This window comes from Homo sapiens, chromosome 5 (genome assembly GCF_000001405.40).
Source record: "Homo sapiens chromosome 5, GRCh38.p14 Primary Assembly".
Classification (NCBI taxonomy): domain Eukaryota; kingdom Metazoa; phylum Chordata; class Mammalia; order Primates; family Hominidae; genus Homo; species Homo sapiens.
Window position 1 is genome coordinate 171771520 of NC_000005.10, and position 20098 is coordinate 171791617.

At 44.9% G+C, this 20098-nt stretch overlaps 1 protein-coding gene across 4 annotated transcripts, besides 1 other annotated feature; it reads left to right on the forward strand.

Moving 5' to 3' along the window:
• Positions 1-1117: 1117 nt before the first annotated feature.
• SMIM23 (small integral membrane protein 23) lies at positions 1118-19617 on the forward strand. 4 transcript variants are annotated; one of them, XM_011534624.2, is made up of 5 exons: positions 1118-1228; positions 2364-2439; positions 18711-18762; positions 18963-19030; positions 19276-19617. In XM_011534624.2, the coding sequence occupies exons 2-5, from the start codon at positions 2437-2439 to the stop codon at positions 19567-19569; spliced, it is 417 nt and encodes a 138-aa protein (XP_011532926.1). In that variant the 5' UTR covers positions 1118-1228; positions 2364-2436; the 3' UTR covers positions 19570-19617. The 4 variants fall into 4 exon arrangements, with proteins under 4 accessions (XP_011532926.1, XP_011532925.1, XP_011532924.1 ...); XM_011534623.2 differs by lacking the exon at positions 1118-1228 and having other exon boundaries at positions 2141-2439; XM_011534622.1 differs by lacking the exons at positions 1118-1228; positions 2364-2439 and adding an exon at positions 14285-14472.
• Positions 9278-10477: an enhancer, noted in NCBI's record as "MED14-independent group 3 enhancer chr5:171207801-171209000 (GRCh37/hg19 assembly coordinates)". NCBI's record gives its function as "activates an origin of replication core promoter dependent on BRD2, BRD4, P300/CBP and CDK7 cofactors, and independent of MED14, by STARR-seq in HCT116 cells {active_cell/tissue: HCT116}" and the evidence as "EXISTENCE:reporter gene assay evidence [ECO:0000049][PMID:35650434]".
• Positions 19618-20098: the final 481 nt, after the last annotated feature.

Genomic DNA, 20098 nt, shown 5'->3' on the forward strand with positions numbered 1-20098 from the left:
AATGAATGCATGGGTTAAAAAACTGACATTTTGTTATTATTAGTGATTTTTTAAGGGTACAGGGAAGGGTAGTTTGAATTGACAAATACGTATTTACCTTACTTTAGCTTAGAGGTAGCCAACCTATTTCCCAGCTTAATCTATTATTTTAGAGGCAGAAAGTTAACTTGCTTATCCTGAAAAGAAGTGCAAATATATCCCAAAAGTGCCATTCTTTCATTCATCCACTCAAACAGATACACACACACACACACACACACACACACACACCCTTTTCACCCCTTGGTAGTGTACAGTCTCTGAGTTGTAAAAAATAGTCATTCCTTTCTGCTTGAAAGACTGTATTAGCTACTCAGGGAATACTAGCCCTTTCCTTGGACTCAAAAAAGTATTTTATCCATTAAAATCTAACCAGGGTGTAGTAACCATAAAAATCCAGCCACTCTGGTAGGAAGACGGATATCCTCAAAGATTTATGTCTGGCCGTCTCAAAGAAAATGTGTAAGATGGAGTTTTCTCAGAGACTTCCTGGCTGCACTCCACCCCACACATAATTTCTGTTTGTATAAACCTCAGATCAAAATTCAGGAAGGGTTAAGGGAAACCTTTCTGAACCACAGGTTATGTCTGCTCACCATCCTCAGTTGACCGTTTGGAATGAATTAACCAGTCCCTAACCAGCCTATGACTGCTTCTTGGATGGAATTAACCAACCTCTTCAGTCCAAATGGTTGAACCATTTAGGGTCTCAGATTCCATCCAGATGTGGGGTGAGGGTTTAGGTCACAAACTATATTCAGAGTCATTTGCATATTTTTATTATTGTGGTGAGAGATAATGAAAACACACCACTTTATTAGTTTCAGGATATGGTGAAGACCATTGGAAACACCAGCATTCGGGAAGGGGTGGAGAAGGAGGTGTGACTATTTTGAATGAACCTGAAAGAAAATACTTCCCGAACCTTCTTTCAGAAGGCGATTTCAGTTCCAATTTTTCATAAGGTTGGAAAAAGTTAAGCAAACTAGAACTATAGACACTTGTTTATAGAAGGTTTTTCTCTTTAATTACTGTTTTTGTTTCATGAAAGAAAAGTCTCATAAAATAAAAGCTCGTTTTGGGTTCAGCGAGGCAGCGAGACTCCTGAGAACGCCACAAAAGGGCTGACTTGACCTTGGCCAGCCAAGGAGTCCTGACGACTTGAACGTCTATGTATTTCCACAGCAAGGTATGTGCCTTTCCCACCCTCCACCCTAAAGGTCTCTCCATACATTTGAGACAGTTTTAAAAATCTGAACTGTGGGACCGTCTGGTCGCTGGCAAGCATTCCAGACAAGTGGTTTTCTCAGAAGCCAAGTTCTGGTTTGACTCTTTGATTGGAAAAGTATCTATTTCACTAAGGGTGATAGGCCCCTGGATGCATTCTCACCAAGAAACCCATAAACCAATACTTGAAATGCCAGCAGCGAGTTGTAGGGAATTCTTTTGGTTTGCCTTCAAGGACACAAAACATCGCAAAGGTCTTCTCTTTGGCAGAGAGGGGCCTGGCGTGGAGAGCTGGCCCAGGGAGTATGTGGAAAGAGTCAGATGTGGGAGTCAACAGACCTGGGTTCGAATCCTGACTCTCCTGCCAGCAAGCTGGTTCTGACCTTAGGCGGGTCTCTTCGGTTCTCTTGAGTCCGACTTTCCTCATCTGTAGAATGCGGACATTGACCTCAGTCTCAGGGAGGTGGTGGGGGCTCAATGAGATGATACTCCCATGATTCCTTCCACCATGACTGCTGCACAGCAAGGGCTGGATAAACACCAGTCTTACGTCCACCATGGTAGAGCACTGGAGATGCACGACCTTTGAGGTCACTGAATCCCTTCCTCTGAGGTCACTGAATCCCTTCTGAGCCCCCTGTCTAGGGCTGCTTGCTTTTGGTTAATCCAATTAACAGATAATTACAGGGCATGCGCCCTGGGGCCCACACAGCCCCAGACAGGAGGGATTCTGAAGATGTGGAAGGCTTTTCCCTCACATGGGAGCTGGTGCCCTCACGGGGCAGACTGAAAAATGCACAGAAAATGTTTGCCAATGATTCAAGGCATTGTGATGAGACAACCAAATAGAGGGTAAGACTCAAGCCAGATGCCCTCAAGACCAGGCAGGCATAGTGTCCAGTAGCCAGCAAGAGCAGCCAGGCCCCATCTAAAGGAAGCTAGGCTGCCCAGCTTCAGGCAAGTGTTGGCATGCAGGAACATAGGTCATTGTGGCCAGATCGCTCATTCTTCAAGAAAAGCCGTGAAATCTAGATTGTATGAGAAAGCTCCTAATTTTTAAGACAACTTATTTTAAAAAATTAAACATCTGTCTGCAGTCCAGATGGATAAAGAGACATCCCTGTGGTTGGAGGACTACACCAAGGAGGTGGGGCTCATGCCAGGCCTTGAATGGTGAGTAGAATTTACATACGCCATTTGTGCATTTCTTGTGTGTGCACTTCGCAGGAGGCAGTGTGTGGTTTGGTGGCTATGGGCTTTGTGTCTGATTTCTTGTCTGACAAAGAGAAAAAAAATGGCATCTATTCAGAAGGCATTTGTAAGGATTGGGTGAGATCAAACTTGTTAGATCCAACACAATCAAGATTTTGGTGACATTAGCTGTTACTGTCCTAACACCTGGTTGTTGCGATTGCTGTTGGCATGGAGAGCAGGGATCGATGGCATGCAGCTCTGTCACTCTCCACCCTGGCCCATCCCATTCAGAGATCCCATGCTTGCTCCACCTTGACATAATGGCCTGTGAAATAGACAGTAATGTTGTTCCTGTTCTACAGATGAGGAAACTGAGCCAGCAGAGAGACAGGAAGGAGCCCACGCAGGGTTACACAGGCAGTTAGCAGAAACAATATGGGAACCCAGGTCTGCTCGGCTGCACAGCTCACCGTCGGACCTCTCCCCCAATCCCCATGGGCCTTGCACCTCGGATGGCCGAGGGGATCCTGGATTTCAGCAGTCCCACGCCCCTTGTGGGTTTGAAGTTCCTTGCGGGTTTATCTTGCGTAGGCCCATGGCACACTGTCCCTACCCTGCCCTGCCCCACCCCACCCCACCCTCCAATTCCTTCACAGGCTCCTTTGAACTTGGTCTCAAGGCTCGCCCACAAATCCCAGGAAGTGTCTTGGATGCAGAAGAGTTTCATGGTGTTCCTTATAAAAGCACAACCTGACATGCAGCTATTGTGTCAAGAATCCCTCTATTCCCAACTGCCAGAAACTCAAAACAGCTTAAGACAAAAACAAACTGGCTCAAGGTCTGTGGGAGCCTTGTCTTGGGCCGTGTCTACAGGCCCACTCTGTTTTTATTAACGTGGCCTGAAATTTTGACCCACAGGTCTCCCAAGTGCAGACCCAGGAGGCCCCTCAGGAGACCCCAGCTGTCTTCAGACCCCTGGGGAAAGGGATGCCGGGCCTCTGGTGGTCAGAGAATGAAGTCAGAACAGAGGCAGGATTCTCAGCCCAGAAACATGCCATACACGGATGTTTTGATCCTGTCTTGAAGCCATTTCAACCTTAGACTGCTAGTTACCAACTCCAGATGCTCGCCCTCCACCACGTTCATTTGACAAATAGACACTGAGCCCTCACTAGATCTGCTGGGAGCACCATGTGCCCGCCGCCCCTCTAACAGGGTCTTCCCATCCCGTGGGCCCTTGGCCACCTTCTTTCCTCAAATTCAAATGTACACAATTGGAGAGAGAAAGAAACATCTGGAATAGACCAGGAGGGCGCTGCCTCACACTCCAGCACCAAGAACTGAGCATTCCCCCCAACCCCCACCTCCCCCTCCTTCGGGCCCTGCTGTCACGTGTCTCCTGGAGCAGACCTTGCCCCTCTGAGGGTAACTCTACCGTGTGAAAGGATCTTGTTAGTCCTGCAACCACTCTAGCTTGTGCTCAAATGAAAACACAGTGGTCCTCCCCATCGCCACAGGAAGAGGAGGCAGTGGTGGACTTTGCCTGAGTCTGTCTCCTCCAGTTTGACTTACCGTAAGTGCCTCCCCTGAAGACCCTGATCTCCAGGGGAGGCAGTAGATGTTAAGAACTCAGGCCCTGGAGTTGTGGGTAAGGCCCCCAATGTCCCTTAGCCTCAGTTTTCTATCTGTAAAGCAGACATGGTTTTAGTTTCTATCTCATGGAGTTGCTGCGAGGATTCTATAAGGGAATGAATGCAAAGTGCTTAATTCAGTGCTTAACAGTAAATGAATGTGCAAGAAAAGGAAGCCCACGTTATCATCGCCATGCGTCAGAATTTTACACAGTATCTTTTTTTCCCTTACGACAACCCTATAAGGCACGTATTTCATTTTGTTTTGTTTTGTTTTTTGAGACGAAGTTTCACTCTTGTTGCCCAGGCTGGAGTGCAATGTGTGATCTCAACTCACTGAAACCTCCACCTCCCGGGTTCAAGCGATTCTCCTGCCTCAGCCTCCCAAGTAGCTGGGATTATAGGCATGAGCCACCATGCCCGGCTAATTTTGTATTTTTAGTAGATACGGGGTTTCGCCATGTTGGCCAGGCTGGTCTTGAACTCCTGACCTCAGGTGATCCACCCGCCTTGGCCTCCCAAAGTGCTGGGATTACAGGCGTGAGCCACCGTGCCTGGCCTAAGGCAGGTATTTTTATCCCTACCTTACAGATGGAAGAACAGAGACCTCTCAAGGTACAGCGTGCAGCCCACGGTCTCACAGTGAGCGGGGGAGGGGGGGTTGGGGTGGGGTGAGATTTGTCCTCAGGATGCCAGGCTCTGCAGCCCAAGCCCCAGACCACAACACAACGCGCCCGAGGCACATGTAACCACCCCTTCACTTTCACGTACATCGTCACTCTTGGCAGTTTTTGTTGGCCAGGGCAGAGCTAAACCCATCCCCCACTTTCCTGCATCTGCAGAAGCCATTCTGTCTGCCAAAAACCCCGCGTTCAACCAGGACTTCCAGGAACAGCGAAGTCACACATTTCACACCCACATGCACCAGGCAAAGGGTCTCGAATGGCATGGGAGATGCTTGCCTTCAAGCCACCAGAAGACCACTGATAGGGTCTCAGGAGCACATCATCATCATCTCTATGCCCATGTACAGAGCATGCTTACTCCTCAGATTCTATCAGTCCTGAAATCAAGCATCTGGGCTGTCACGTCTCAAAATTCTATTCCTACGTTAATTTTCCATAAGAGTCTTGGATTCGGGAGCAAGCGAACTGAGGAATTCAACAACCCCACTGGGGTTTCTCCCTCACCCTCCAACCCAAGACCCAATTTAACACACTCAACTAATTGAGGGGCGCTTCACACTCCAACCTTTTCCAGTCCTGCTCCTGCAGGTGGCAGCTGAAGTCATGGGCGGAAGGGCCCAGGTGCCTGAGGAATTCTCAGAGCCCTGCCGTTGATTCATTTGTCTGCAGACATTCTAGACTCCATGTCTCCAAGACAGGCCACGACAGAGTGCATGACGGGGTGAGCCTGCCTTATTTTTCCCTCCAGCTTCCCCCTCCTTTTTTTTTTTTTCCTTCTTGGCCTCAGAGCCCAAAGTATTCTGGACATATTTTTCATTTTTCCAAATATCAATTGCTCTTTTATTCCCTCTCCGAAGCAGTGAGTAATAAGAGTTGTGTCTGGTCCTGAAATTCCGACTGTAATAAATTAGCCCAATGACCAACAGGAGGTGCCTAGAACAATAACAGCGGAATACTTGGCATGTTACAAAAGGGCCCCTGGATGTCGAAGTACAGTAAGTCTAGAAGCACATTACAGAGCAGCATCGCCAGAGCGGGTATGCAATGAGCCATCCAGGCAGCCGAACGCCTCATAAATTAATCCTGTTTTTTTTTCCTTTTTGGTCCACTGTTCGCAGTTCTTTAGCCCTCTGGTTACGGGGCATGCAGAAGGGTATTTTTGGTGTGGCCTGTGGCCCTAGCAGGCAAGCCTATGCCAAGGCTGTGTGTTCATGTGTACATTTGCCCCTCAGCTGGCCTGGCCTCCCAGCCTCTGCTTGCCACAGTGAGAGAGAACAGAACCTGGAGGCAGCAGGCTGTGAACAAACACTGAGCTTCTACTCAGTGGCAGGTGCTGCGCTAAGTTCTGGAGTGCCACGGACTGTGAGAGGGAGATAGACCTGCCCTCCTGGGGCCGAGAGCTCGGACATCCCCCAGCCTCTCAGAACTAGGTCTCCATCTCAGTGCAGAATGGAGGAGGGGAGAGCGGCAACACTCAGCTGCTCCATCCCTCCTTTCCTGGAGGTAATCACCCATCAGATGAGTCTTGGGGGTGACACAGCCTTGTCTCCCACTTCAAGAGCAGCAGAAGCCTCCAGCCTCCTCCCTACCTCAGCCTAGCAGCTGTCCTTGCCCAGAGCTTTGAATCTGCAGGGAGCATCCCAAAGACACAGTAGTGGGCTGAGAAAAGCCCCCAAGAGATACTCACATCCTAATCCCTTGAACCTGTGAATATTACCTCATATTGCAAAATAGGACTTTGCAGATGTCATCAAATGCAGGGTTTTAAGACAAGGAGATTTGGCTGGGCACAGTGGCTCATGCCTGTAATCCTAGCACTTCGGGAGGCCGAGGCGGGCGGATCACCCAAGGTCGGGAGTTCAAGACCAGCCTGGCCAACACGGTGAAACCCTGTCTACAAAAATACAAAAATTTGCCAAGCATGATGGCAAGTGCCTGTAATCCCAGCTACTTGGGAGGCTGAGGCAGGAGAATTGCTTGAACCCGGGAGGCAGAGGTTGAAGTGAGCTGAGATCATGCCATTGCACTCCAGCCTGGGTGACAGAGCGAGACTCCATCTCAAAAAAAAAAAAAAGATGAGATTTTCCTGGATTATCCAAAGGGCCCCAGCATGATCCTATGAATCCTTATAAAAGGGAGATGGGAAAATTTCACACACACACACACACACACACACACACACACACACACACACACAGATAGAGACAGAGAGAAGAGGATAAGGCAATGTAACCATGGAGGCAGAGATGGGAGTGCTGTAGCCACAAGCTAAGGAATGCTGGCAGCCACAGATGCTGGAAGAGTTGAAGAATGGGTTCCCCCTGAGGGAGCACAGCCAGATGCATGCTTTGAGAGTTCAGCCCAGTGCTACTGACTTTAGACTTATGGTTTCCAGAACTACAAAAAATTAATTTCTGTCGTTTCAAACCATCCAGTTTGTAATAATTCATTATAGAAGCCATAGTAACTAACACAGACACCAAGAGAATTTAGAATTCTTTCATGGCATTGGAATCCCACCACGCAGGGTATACATTTACCCCAGTATTCCTTTCTGGTTCAGTGTCTGCCTGTGGTATGCCCCTGCCCATGGTCCCAACGGCTATTCTTCTCCCTGGAGTTTCAGCCTTCCCATCAAATTCAGGAGGTCCCTCTCTCCTCTCCAAGACTGGCCGTTTCCAATTTTAGTTAGCCATAGGGGCTTCTGTGGCTCGCCATAGCAGGTAGCAAGCTCCACAGAGCAGGGCTGTTTCGAGGATTAGGGACAAGCCTCGTTTGAGCACAGCAGACACACAATAAGAGAGTTCACAAATTGATGGCGTACGTTGGGCTCACAAAGTGAATTTTTTTCTAAGTTGAATTTGTTGCCAACATTTACAAGCCAGGAGGTTTCATACAAAAGACTGAATTTCTTACTTCTCTTGAAAATAAATCAGAAGTTCTCACCACACTGAACCCCACATTCTCATGCAACAATTGGCTGGCCTTTCTGGACACACGTGTTATGATTTTGCCATGGTCCCCACCATGCCCTTTCGTTTCACACCCAGACTACTTCTCTCATTTTATTAACTGTTCAGTACCTGTATGCATCTGAGTTTGCAATGTTTGTTATAAATACAAGTCTTTATTCTGTAGACTAAAGGCAGGCACCAGACCCAGGCTAGGACTGGGTTCTGGTTTCAGGCCCAGGTTGTGAGGTCTTTTCCCATAATTCTCAGTCTCCCCAGACATCCTTTCTTCTCCCCTCCAGCTAGCCAAAAACACCTCCTCCTTTATGAAGCCATCCAGTCCTCTTCCTTCCATAGTCCCCACCCACTCCTGTACAGGCTTGCCAATTATGTCATCTCTATCAGTTTTCTGGATAGACTTTTCATATAAACTCTTTGCAATCTTACATTACTGGGAGAATTAAATTGAATTGGCATGGGGGCAGCCCATCAAATACTTGGAGAAGTGAGGAGGAGAAAAGGAGGCAGGAGTGGGAATGAAGCGAGGAAGGCAGGGAGAGAGGGAGAGAGGAGAGGAAGGAGAGAGGGAGGGAGGGAGGAAAAGAAGGAGAGAGAGAGGGAGAAGGGGGGAAGAGAGAGAAACTACCTGAGGTTCCAGTTTGAGCCAGGCACTATCCAGTTAGTTCATCTCGTTTAGCGCTCCCAGTAACCCCGTAAGACACATATTATTATTATTGGCCTCACTTTTCAGATAACTGAGACTTAGAGACATGATGTCACTTTCCCAAGTGAATGTTACAATGATACCAGGATTTGAACCCAGGTGTGTTTGGGAGACAGGACTCAAGCACAAAGCACTGCTTGGTCTCCACTTATTAGGTTTGGGGCAGATTTCTCCCTTGGCAGAGTGTAATTTTTCAAGACTGATTAGTTATTCCCCTGGAAATCTTTATTCATTCACACATTTCCATTCATTCCCTGCCCCCGCCAACTCATTCTCACATTGACTTGCTCCCTAATTCCCTCCTTCAAAGGCCTCTCTCTCCTTTCTCATCCTCTCCCTCTTCCTTTACTAGGAAGTGTGAAGCACCCAGTGCTGTACTAGACCCTCTGCCAGTCCCCCGCCCACACCAGCTACTGGGCCAGTTCTCTGAGGGCCAGGTGGGGAAGCTCTTCCTCCCTCTCCTCCCTGCCCTGAGACCAAATCCTGGAAGCTCTGCCTTCCGAAGGAGTTTCCTGGAAGAATTTATTATGTTTCCTAGAAAAATGTGACTGTAATTCATTACTTTTTTTGTGTGTGACTGTAATTTTTTTTACTGTAATTCATTACTTTTTGTGACCATAATTCATTACTTTTGATGTGCCATAATTAGCTTAATGAGCAGTCCTTACGTACCTGCATTTGACATTTCAAATGTGTCCACCAGATAAAGCCCAAGAGCCAGCAACTGCATGGGTGCCTGCAAGACCATCAAGATGATGCAAATGGCCTTTGGAGGGCCCTCAAGTGGGAGGCAAGAGACTTGAGTTCGGTACCTTTCCTTGGACTGTCTTGGGTTGGACTCTTTCTTTCTCTGGTCTTGAATCTTCCCAGGGAAGGAGCAGTATCCAACGGCCACCAAGAGCCAGGGTGCTGTCACAAGAATGGTAGAGTCCAAATCTCAGCCCTGCCTCTTACCAGCTGAGTAACTTTGGAAAAGTGTTCAGTCTAAGCTTCAGTCTCCCCATCTGTAAAATGGAGACAAAAATATGATTTACTACCTAGAGTTGTAATATTTATATGGTGAACCAATGCATGTAAAGCACTTTGCACAATGCCCAGTACTTAGAAAACTCTCAAAATATCTTAGTTGCACATGGTAATGATACAGGAGTTAAGAAGAAACTAATTAGTCAGATAGTGAGGGTGCAGAAGTCCTCGGTAAGGTTTTCCTTTTAATGAAAAGCAGCCCCCAATTATTTTCCTTTCTGACAAAGAACAGCCTGTAAAATCGAGCTGCAGACATAGATGCTGCAGTTGTGCCAATCATGTTCAAGATGGCGGCTCCGTCTTCCCTTCTCTCTGTCTGCCACATGTATACTAAGGAGCAGACAAGACAGCCCCGGCTAAGGGGAAAGTTCATTTGCATAATAAGATTAGGGTGGGGCAGCTAGCCTTCCCCAGCTATGTAACTGTCATACCTCATGGAACCAATCTGTGAGCCCCATGTAAATCAGACACCACCTCCGCAAGCCTAACTGTAAAATTCTGGTGCATCCACCACCGGCTGGTCTTTTCCTCTGAGAAGTGCCCCCCCCCGTCTCTAGAGCTGTTTTTCTTTCTCCCTTTTTGCCTATTTTGTGTGTCCGTGTCCTAAACTTACCTGGTATAAGACGACGAACCCTGGATATTTATCCCAGACAACGTAGCTGCTTTAGTAATAATAATAAAGATATGCAGAAAAGGCAAAAAGGAGTGGAGATTGCATGAAATGCCACACGCACCAATCTGGGATAGTCATGGAGTTGGAAGTGAGAGGTGAGGCCAGCTGGACTCCCTGGGTCGAGTGGGGACTTCCAGAAATTTTCTGTCTAGCTAGAGGATTGTAAAAGCACCAATCAGCACTCTGTGTCTAGCTAAAGGATTGTAAATGCACCAATCAGCACTCTGTAAAAAATGCACAGTCAGTGCTCTGTGTCTAGTTAAAAGATGTAAATGGCCCAATCAGCACTCTGTAAAATGGACCAATCAGCAGGATGTGGGCGGGGACAAATAAGGGAATAAAAGCTGGCCTCTGCAGCCAGCAGTGGCAACCTGCTTAGGTACCTTTCTAGGTTGTGGAAGCTTTGTTGTTTCGCTCTTCACAGTAAATCTTGCTGCTGCTCACTCTTTCGGTCCACCACCTTCAAGAGCTGTAACACTCACCGTGAGGGTTTGCAGCTTCATTCTTGAAGTCAGCGAGACGGTGAAGCCACTAAAGGAACAAACTCTGGACACAGAAGGACAGGAGGGAAGATGGTTATGTTGGATATTCAAAAAGTCTAATGGAAATCTCACATCTACTTACGGACAGTGAAGCCACAAAAGACAAGAATGGCCACTTTCTTTGTTTTTAGCTGAAACTACATTAACTCCTTGTGGTAAACGAGAAGACGTTGGAGTTAAATAGACCCATACTAAGGCAGGGTATGTGCCACTGGGTAAGGAGAGTAACGTTCCCAACAGAAACTAACAGTGCCGGCCTTGCCGGGCAGTTAGGAGAATTAGATGAAATAACGTGTGGAAGGGACTTACCCTGGGTCAGGCGCACAGTAGGTACTTCGTTCATGACACCCACTAATTCCGATACCCTTCCCTAGCCACCCCGGACCTCGGCTTCTTCAAAACGTAAAAATCATACCACCTGCTTTACTCATTCGGCAAATATTTACTGAGCCAAGTACTGTGAATACAAAAATGTATTCACCAGACAAAGTTCCTGGCCTCTCAGAGCCTGCAGTTTGAGACCGTTCATTATTCATCCTTTCAACAGGTATTTTTACTGAACATTTACTATGTAACGGGCTGCGTAAGGGGCATCAGAAATGCAATGTTTAGTAAGACAGATTTAATTCCCCACTACCCACAGAATTAATAGCCTAGAGAAGCTGTAGTAAAGTAATCTAGTGAAATGCCTAGTGTATAGCCGGCCTCCGTATGTAAGTTATCTGGGTGCCAGTCAGAGCTCTGTATGTGGAACTTTGGTAAAGTTAATTCACAAAATGTGGAACATTGATGATTTCTTAACACATGAAATTTGTTTGGCACATGGGGGCTTTTAAAGTATAAGGAAAGTCCAAAGAATATGAAATATTTAGGTATATACCTAACAAAACATGTACAAAAGCTATATGCCAAAAATTACAAAGTGCTGGTTAAAAAACAAATGAAACGGAAGACCTAAATAAATGAAGAAGCATACTGTGTTCCTGGGATAGAAGACACCACATAGTAAATATGATAATTCTCCCCAAAGTGATTCATAGGTGTGATGCAATTCCTATCACAATCCCAGCTGGCAAAGTATTTTGTTATGAAGTTTATATGGAAAGGCATAAGCCCTGTGAGAGCTGAAACAATCTTGACAAAGAAAAACAAAGTGGGAAAAATCACTCTACTTGCTATTAAGGCTCACCGTAAAGCTACAGCAGTCAAGACAGTGTGGTATTGATGCAGGGACAGATACATAGATCAATGAAACAGAATACAGAACAAATGGTCCTGGAGCAACTGGACATCCATAAGCAAAAAAATTAACCTTAAACTCCACACTTTATACAAAAATTGATTCCAAATGAATCATGGGCTGAAATGTGAAGCGTAAAGCTATACAACCAAAAAAACAAAAATAGGAGAAAATCTTCGGAACCTAGGGCTAGGTGAAGAGTTCTTAGACTTGCCATGAAAGAGCACAATTCATAAAAGAAAAAGTGATAGACTGGATCAAAACATAAAACATTTTATCTGCAAAAGTCCATGTGATGAAGTTGAAAAGATAAGCCACAGACTGGGAGAAAATAATTTGCAAACCATATATCCTAAGAAGGACTAGTATCTAAAATGAGCAAAGAACTGTCTCAAAACTCAACTGTAGCAAAACCAATCCAATTAGTAAATGGGCAAAAGACAGGAACAAATGTTCCACTGAGGAAGGGGTGCAGATGGCAAATAAGCTAATATGAAAAGACGTTCGGGCAGGGCATGGTGGCTCACACCGGTAATCGCAGCACTTTGGGAGCCCGAGGTGGGAGGATTGCTTGAGCCCAGAAGTTCAAGACCAGCCTGGGAAACATAGCAAGACACTGTCTCCAGCAAAATAATAAAAAATTGCTTAATAAAATTTAAAAAAAAGAAAAGATGTTAAACATCATTAGCTATCAGGGAAATACACATTAAAACCACAATGAGATGTTACTAAACACCTGTCAAAATGGTTAAATTAAAAAATAGTGAAAACAGCCGGGTGCAGTGGCTCACGCCTGTAATCCCAGCACTTTGGGAGGCCGAGGCAAGCGGATCACAAGGTCAGGAGATCAAGACCATCCTGGCTAACACGGTGAAATCCCATCTCTACTAAAAATACAAAAAATTAGCCGGGTGTGGTGGCGGGTGCCTGTAGTCCCAGATACTCGGGAGGCAGAGGCAGGAGGATGGCGTGAACCCGGGAGGCAGAGCTTGCAGTGAGCCGAGATCGTGCCACTGCACTCCAGCTTGGGCGACAGAGTGAGACTCTGTCTCAAAAAAAAAAAGAACAAATAGTGTAAACAGATATTGGTGGGGATGAGGAGAAACCAAATCACTCATACACTGTTAATGAGAATGTACAATGGCACAGCCATTCTGGAAAACAGTTTGACAATTTCTTATAAAACTATCATGCCATGATGCTATGGCCCAGCAACTGCACTCTCAGGCATTTATCCCAGACAAATGAAACTTACGTTTACCCAAAAACATGTACAAGCATGTTCATATCACCTTTACTCGCAAGAGTCAAAAACTGGAGGCAGCTGGGTTTTGAACAGGTTTGGAACGTGTCCTTCATTATGGCATACACATATCACAAAATACTACACAGCAGTCAAAAAGAATGAACTACTGATACATGCAACAAATTGGATGAATTTCCAGGGAATTATACTATGTTTTTTTTTAAAGCCAATCCCCAAAGGTTAAATACTGTTTCATTCCATTTATGTAGCATTTGGAATAAACAAATTTTAGAAAGAGAGAGCAGATGAGTGATTTCCAGGAGTTAAGGACAGTGTGGGTGGGGTCGGGAGGCAGCAGCCATCACGAAGCAGCACAAAGCCCCTTGTAGTTTTGAAACTCTTCTGTGTCTTGACTATTGTCCTAAGTAAGCAAACCTACACAAAATTGTTTAGAATTAAACACACACACACACACACACAAATGAGAACAAGTAACACTGGGGAAGTCTGCGTAAGATTGGTAGAGTGTATCAATGTCCACATCCAGGCTGTGATCTCCTACTGCAGTGAGGCAGGATATTACTGTACCACTGGGGGAAAAATTCATAGAGGGTACACAGGATCTCTCTGTATTGTTTCTTACAACTGCATGTGAATCCACAATTATCTCCATACATTTTTCAATTAAAAATAGCTTTTATTGTTTTTTTTTTTTTTGTAATTTTTTAAAAATAGAGACATGGTCTCACCATGTTGCCCAGGCTAGTCTCAAACTTCTGGACTCAAGCAATCCTCCAGCCTCAGCCTCCCAAAGTGCTAGGGATTACAGGTGTGAGCCACTGCACCCAAACTATTGTTTTTATATTTTAGAATTAGCATTTTTATTAAAAACTTGCAAATATAGAAGAAAATAATCAGAAAAATCATCATCCTGAAACATAATCTTTTGATGCATTTCTTCCTGATCTTTGTTTTCTACACTCATGTGAAAAATAAAAATGAGGGAAGGGACTAAAAATCAGGGTGGTGGAAAGGTGGGAACCTTGCTGTCCCTACCTTCTGTGACATCAGAACTCAATGTTTGCAGGATGCCTGGTGACCACAGGTGGGGGAGGGGAAGGGTGCCCTTCTGTCTGTTGAGTGTGGTCCACCCAGGCAGCCAGATCTGAGGCCATGGCAACCCAGCAAGTGGACAGCAGAAGGCAGGTGGCAGCAGAGCAGGTGGCAGCCCAGCTGCTTGAACGGAGAAGGGGCAGCCACTGTGATGACGAGAAGCAGGTGAGGCCAGGCCAGGTACATGCTGCTTTCCTCCCATCTGGGCTCCTTTTGCCACTCCAGACAGACTAGAAGTCCCTCAAAGCCCGGAATGAATCTTGGACCCAACCGTCCCTGGATCCCACTCTGATGGAGCACAGTTTAGGGGCCTAGGCACTTCTTGCCGGGGCCATCACTGACACTGTCTTATTAAATTCTCAGCACTGCCAGCAGAAGGTATGTTCCAGGAGGACTGGGCTTTTTGTTTAGTTCCCTGCTGAATCCCTAGTGCCTAGCATGGTGCTTGGTGCCAAGTAGATGCTGAATGAACGAATGAACTGATAATACTCCTGAATTGGAGCGCTCCTGGAGGATTCATTCTCAGGGCTGAAATTCAAAACTCATGTGGGATTTCGTCAAAATGGAAAACATTAATGCTTGCTGCACACAGCCTGGTGCATCCACACCCCATCTCTTAGATGCTATCAACCTCGTTCACAGAGGGTAATCTGAGGCCCAGAAAGGCAAAAGGGCCGTACAACTGGGACATATCAGGATTTGAAAACACATCCATCTGATTTTAGAACTCCCTGAAACCAGGTTCATCTGCTATGAGAACCCTGAGCAAGGGTTTATTCTGAGGATAAGAAGAAGCTGTTGACGGGTTTTAAGCAGAGCAATGAATGAATGAGCTCTGCTGTCTCTGTTTTCAAAAGACTTGTTCACTCATTAATTTACTATACATGCACCGAGCGCCTTCTATATGCTGGACCTTGTAGCGTATAACAGGGGCCTTCATGGGCACCCATCATGCTGCGGCTTTTCCTAAAAAGTGTTCCATAGACACCAGACCCCAGGAATGCTCCTTTTAGAAACATTCTTTACAGAATTCTGTGGCTTGGGGAAGGCTGCATACCCGCATCCCCTCCTGAAGACTGACGCTGCTCATTCACGTAAGGAAGGCTCTGAGAAGTCCTGCAACAAAGAAGTCTGCATAGCTTTGTTTACCACAGCATTTCCCACCTTGATTCTACCAGAGTCCCATTGTTTCCTTTTTTTTTTTTTTTTTTTTTTTTTTTTTTTTCTGAGACGGAGCCTCGCTCTGTCACCAGGCTGGAGTACAACAGTGCGATCTTGGCTCACTGCAACCTCCTCCTCCTGGGTTCAAGTGATTCTACTGCCTCAGCCTCCCGAGCAGCTGGGACTACAGGCGCCCGCCACCACACCCAGTTAATTTTTGTATTTTTAGTAGAGACAGGGTTTCGCCATATTGGCCAGGCTGGTCTCGAACTCCTGACCTCATGATCCACCCGCCTCCGCCTCCCAAAGTGCTGGGATTACAGGTGTGAGCCACTTCTTCTTTTTTGAAAGACTTTGCAGTGTATTTCAAAATCCATTTTACAGATGAAGAAACTGAGGCTCAGAGAAATTATTTGGCTCAGGCCCCAAGACGACACAAGGAAAAGGACTCAAACTCAATCCTAGTCCATGTTCCTCCCTTTGCCTCCATGCAGCACAGTATGGAAACCAGCAGCAAGAATGCCGGGGAAGAAATCAACCTGTAAAATACATTGATAGAGGACTGGTTAGACACATAGAAGAGCTTCCAGGCCACGAAAACTCATCAGCCATTTTAAAGATTGTGACAATTAGTGTGTGTCTTCCATGAAAAGATTCCTAAAGAATATTGTTAAGAAAAGAAAAAGGACCCTAATATTACATGTACAGTGTGATGATTTTGCATTGGGTGTACACACAGATCAAACTATGGAACATTTCTAGCACTGAGGGAGGCTCTTTTGGGGCTCCGCCCACCTGGCATCCCACCCTTCATAGCAGTGATTCTGATTTGTGTCATCATAGCTGAGTTTTCTATGTTCTTGAATTTCATGTAAATGGAATCATACCATGTATACCTTTGTGTCTGACTTCTTTCTCTTATCATTGTGTCTGTGAAACTCAACCAGTTGTTGCTATGTAACATTTTTTTTTTAAGTTAATAGTAATGTAGTTGCTAGTATTATAAAGAAAATTATCTGGGGAAGAGGCAAGTTAGACACATCTTTCATCTTCCTTGTTTAGTACTGGGTCTAAATGTCACTTCACATACTTGGGTGTGTAAGAAATTTATTCTTTCTTTAAGGCAAACTAGATCTGACTCAGCCAACATCTAGTGAGTTTGGGGAAAATTCAATGTCAGTCAATATGCACACACACACAAACACACACACACACACACACACACATATTTGAAAAACAAGAAAACTTTAAAAGCCATGGTCAAAATTTCCACATTAGCAGAAAAAGAAGAATTAAACTCAATAGTATAAAGAAATAAATAATAAAGACAAAATCAGAAATTAATGAAATGTAAAGCAGACAAACAATAAAATTAATAACCATTTTTAATTGGTAAAATTAAATTAAGAATTGGAAAACTTCTAAATAGACTCAACAAAAAACATACATAGAAAGAAAACACAAGTTACCAATATCAAGAATGAAAGAGGTCTCTTGTTTCCTCTCTTGACCTCTTTTCTTTATATATATTTTTTAAAAAGAATAAAAGAGGATTATTATCATGACTCTTACAGGCATTAAAAGAATATTAAGGTAATATTAGGAACAATTTGATGCCAATACATTTAACTTAGGTGAAATGGACAAATCTTCCTTGGCAGTACAACTTACAAAATTGACTCAAGAAGAAATAGTCTTAATAACTACAGGCCCAAAAGTTTTCACCAATAAATTTTATCAATCCTTTGAGATGAAAATAATACCAATCTTACACAAATTATTTCATAAAATAGAGGAGGAGGGAGTTCTTACCAACTCATTTTAAGGGGGCAACAAAATCTTGATACCAAAACTTGACAAACGTGTAGAAAAAAAAATTTTTTTTGAGACAGATTCTTGCTCTGTCACCCAGACTGGAGTGCAGTGGCGCAATCTTGGCTCACTGCAACCTCCGCCTCCCAGGCTCAAGCGATGCTCCTGCCTCAGCCTCCCGAGTAGCTGGAATTACAGGCACCGGCCACCATGGCCAGCTAATTTTTGCATTTTTAGTAGAGACGGGGTTTCGCCATGTTGGCCAGGCTGGTTTCGAACTCTTGACCTCAGGTGATCACCACGGCCTCCCAAAGTGTTAGGATTACAGGCGTGCGCCACCGCGCCTGGCCTAGAAACAATTTTAAACCAATCTCTTCTGAATATAGAGGTAAGAAATCTCAACAAAATAGTAGCTTATCAAATCACATGATATATAAAAAGGCTAGCTAATGCATCATGAACAACTAGAGTTTACTGAAGAAGCTCATTTGGCTCAATATTTAAAACACAATTAATGCAATTTACCACAAAAATGGGGACACATATAGTTGCTCAGTGGGTAAAGAAAAGTCATTGGTGGTTTCTTATAAAATTAAACATACATTTACCATATAACCCAGCATTTGCATTTCTGAATATTAACCCAAGAGAAATGTGAACATATGTTCACATAAGGAATTGTATATGAGTGTTCATAGCACTTTTATTCATAATAGCCCCAAACTGGAAACAAGCCAAAAGTCCATCAACAGGTAAAGAGACTGATTGTGCAATATTCTATGTTCATATAAAATAAATACTCATCAATAAAATACACAATATACTCATCAATAAAATTGAGCACAAAAAAATAGAGGCATTTCGAAAACATTGTCTTAAGCAAAAGAAACTAAATGCAAAAGCACACACACTGTGTAATTCCACTTATACAAGGTTATGGAACAGGCAAAACTACTCACAGTGACAGAAAACAGATTAATGGTTCTCTCCAGGCAGGGCAGGAGTGAGGATGGAATTGACTGCAAAAGGAAACTTTCTAAGATGACGGAAATGCTCTACATCTTGATTGGGGTGATAGTCTACAGGTATAGACATTCATCAATACTCATCAGACTCATCAGACTATACATTTTAAATGTGTGCGTTTTATTATATGTAAATTATACCACAATGAAGTTGATTCCTTTTCAAGATCAATTAAAATGAAAAATGTTTACATGAGAGAAAATGCAAATTGAACATCAGTAAGTTGCAGTGTTATCTATTTCTTCAAAGTTTGGGAGTTTTGTAGTAAGTAAGTGTGACTTAGATAACTAGAACAAAAGTTAAACTCAAAAAACTGTCTTATAAGCATTCCCATGTCTGGCCCTTTGTGATGGAAGCAGGGGGACCTGGAGAGAATTCATCCTCATGTTCTTCCTCCTCTTCCTCTTCTTGCACCCTAGACGCTGTTGGCATTGCTGATCTTGGTGCTGTACTTGAGCACAGAGATATGGGGTGAGCATTCTGGAATCTGAGAAAGAAGGAACCAAATCCACATGAAGCTTGGTGGAGTGTTCCAAAGATGGTTGTATGTTAAGGGGACCTCCATAACCCACCTTCTCCCACTGACCCTTCATCACACTGGGATAACTAACCATGTTTATTTCAATTAGTGCTCATTTGCTCTTCAGAGGTGATGTTTGTGCCTGTTTCAGGAAGCAGTTGGGAGGTGTCAGAAAGGATCAGAGAATGTAACTACTACCAGAATCTTGCAGTTCCCCAGGTAACATGTCCAGCAAGGTACTGAGGTGAGGCAATCTGGGAAGGCTTTCCAGAGGAGGTGTCATTGGCAACATGGGTCATGAAAGATAAGTAGTCGCTTGTCAAGTGCAGAAGGTGGGAACAGGTACTACGAGCACAATGAGTAGCATGTGCAAAGGCCCAGGGATCTTTTTGAAACCAGTGGGGATGGGGAGGAGGGTCCTATCTGAGAAAGCACAGGATGCCACTTCTGTGTCTGCCTTCCAGGGGCTTGAATATCAGACCAACGAGCCCTCAGAAGAACCGATAAAGACCATCAGGAACTGGCTGAAGGAGAAGTTGCATGTCTTCTCGGAGAAGTTAGAGGAAGAGGTGCAGCAGCTGGAGCAGCTAGCGTGGGACCTGGAACTGTGGCTGGATGCTCTTCTGGGAGAGCCACACCAGGAGGAGCACTGCTCCACATATAAAAGTCACTTGTGGGAGTGGGCCTGGGCCCTGGGGAGAGAGCACAAAGGTGGGGAGGGGTTGCTAGAGATTTCTCTAAGCGGGGCAGAGCTCTGACTCTTGAAGTTCCAGTCAGGCAAGAAAATAAAGTAGTTGGGAAATGAAGTCCGCTGTTCACATTCATGAATGCTGACAGAAACAGCGTTGGCGGAACACCAGAGCCCGGCTGAGATATTCTCCCTGGCACCATGACGTGGCCCCCTGGAACAAACACGGGCTTCAGAGCCAGCCATAGGTTCAGGACTCTTCTACTTTCTTGAGACGTTGTGTAAATTTCCTTAACCTGAGACTCAGTTTCCTCACATATAAAAATCGGGGAAACACACTTTGCCTTATAGGAAGACAATGTATGTAGGGTGTGTATACAGAGTGCGTCTGGCACAGAGCAGGTATCGGATAAATAGCTCTTCCTTTCTCACATGCCTTTTCCTTCCTCCCTGGAGTGTGGTAAGAGGATACTAGCTCTGGCTAAGTGTGTGGCTATTATGCGGCATTCAACCCTCTGACTCTGCTGGTGGAAGTATACGTTCCTAAAATCTCTATTTGGTGATAGCTATCAAATTTACAAATGCATTTTCTCTTTGAC

Excerpts from the sequence above, each read along its gene's own strand:
- SMIM23 (XM_011534622.1), top strand. The coding sequence starts at position 14,353 with ATGGCAACCCAGCAAGTGGACAGCAGAAGGCAGGTGGCAGCAGAGCAG. Across the intron at positions 14,473-18,710 it reads AGCAGGTGAGGCCAGGCCAG|ACGCTGTTGGCATTGCTGAT; the intron begins GTACATGCTGCT and ends CTTGCACCCTAG. Across the intron at positions 19,031-19,275 it reads AGAATCTTGCAGTTCCCCAG|GGGCTTGAATATCAGACCAA; the intron begins GTAACATGTCCA and ends TCTGCCTTCCAG.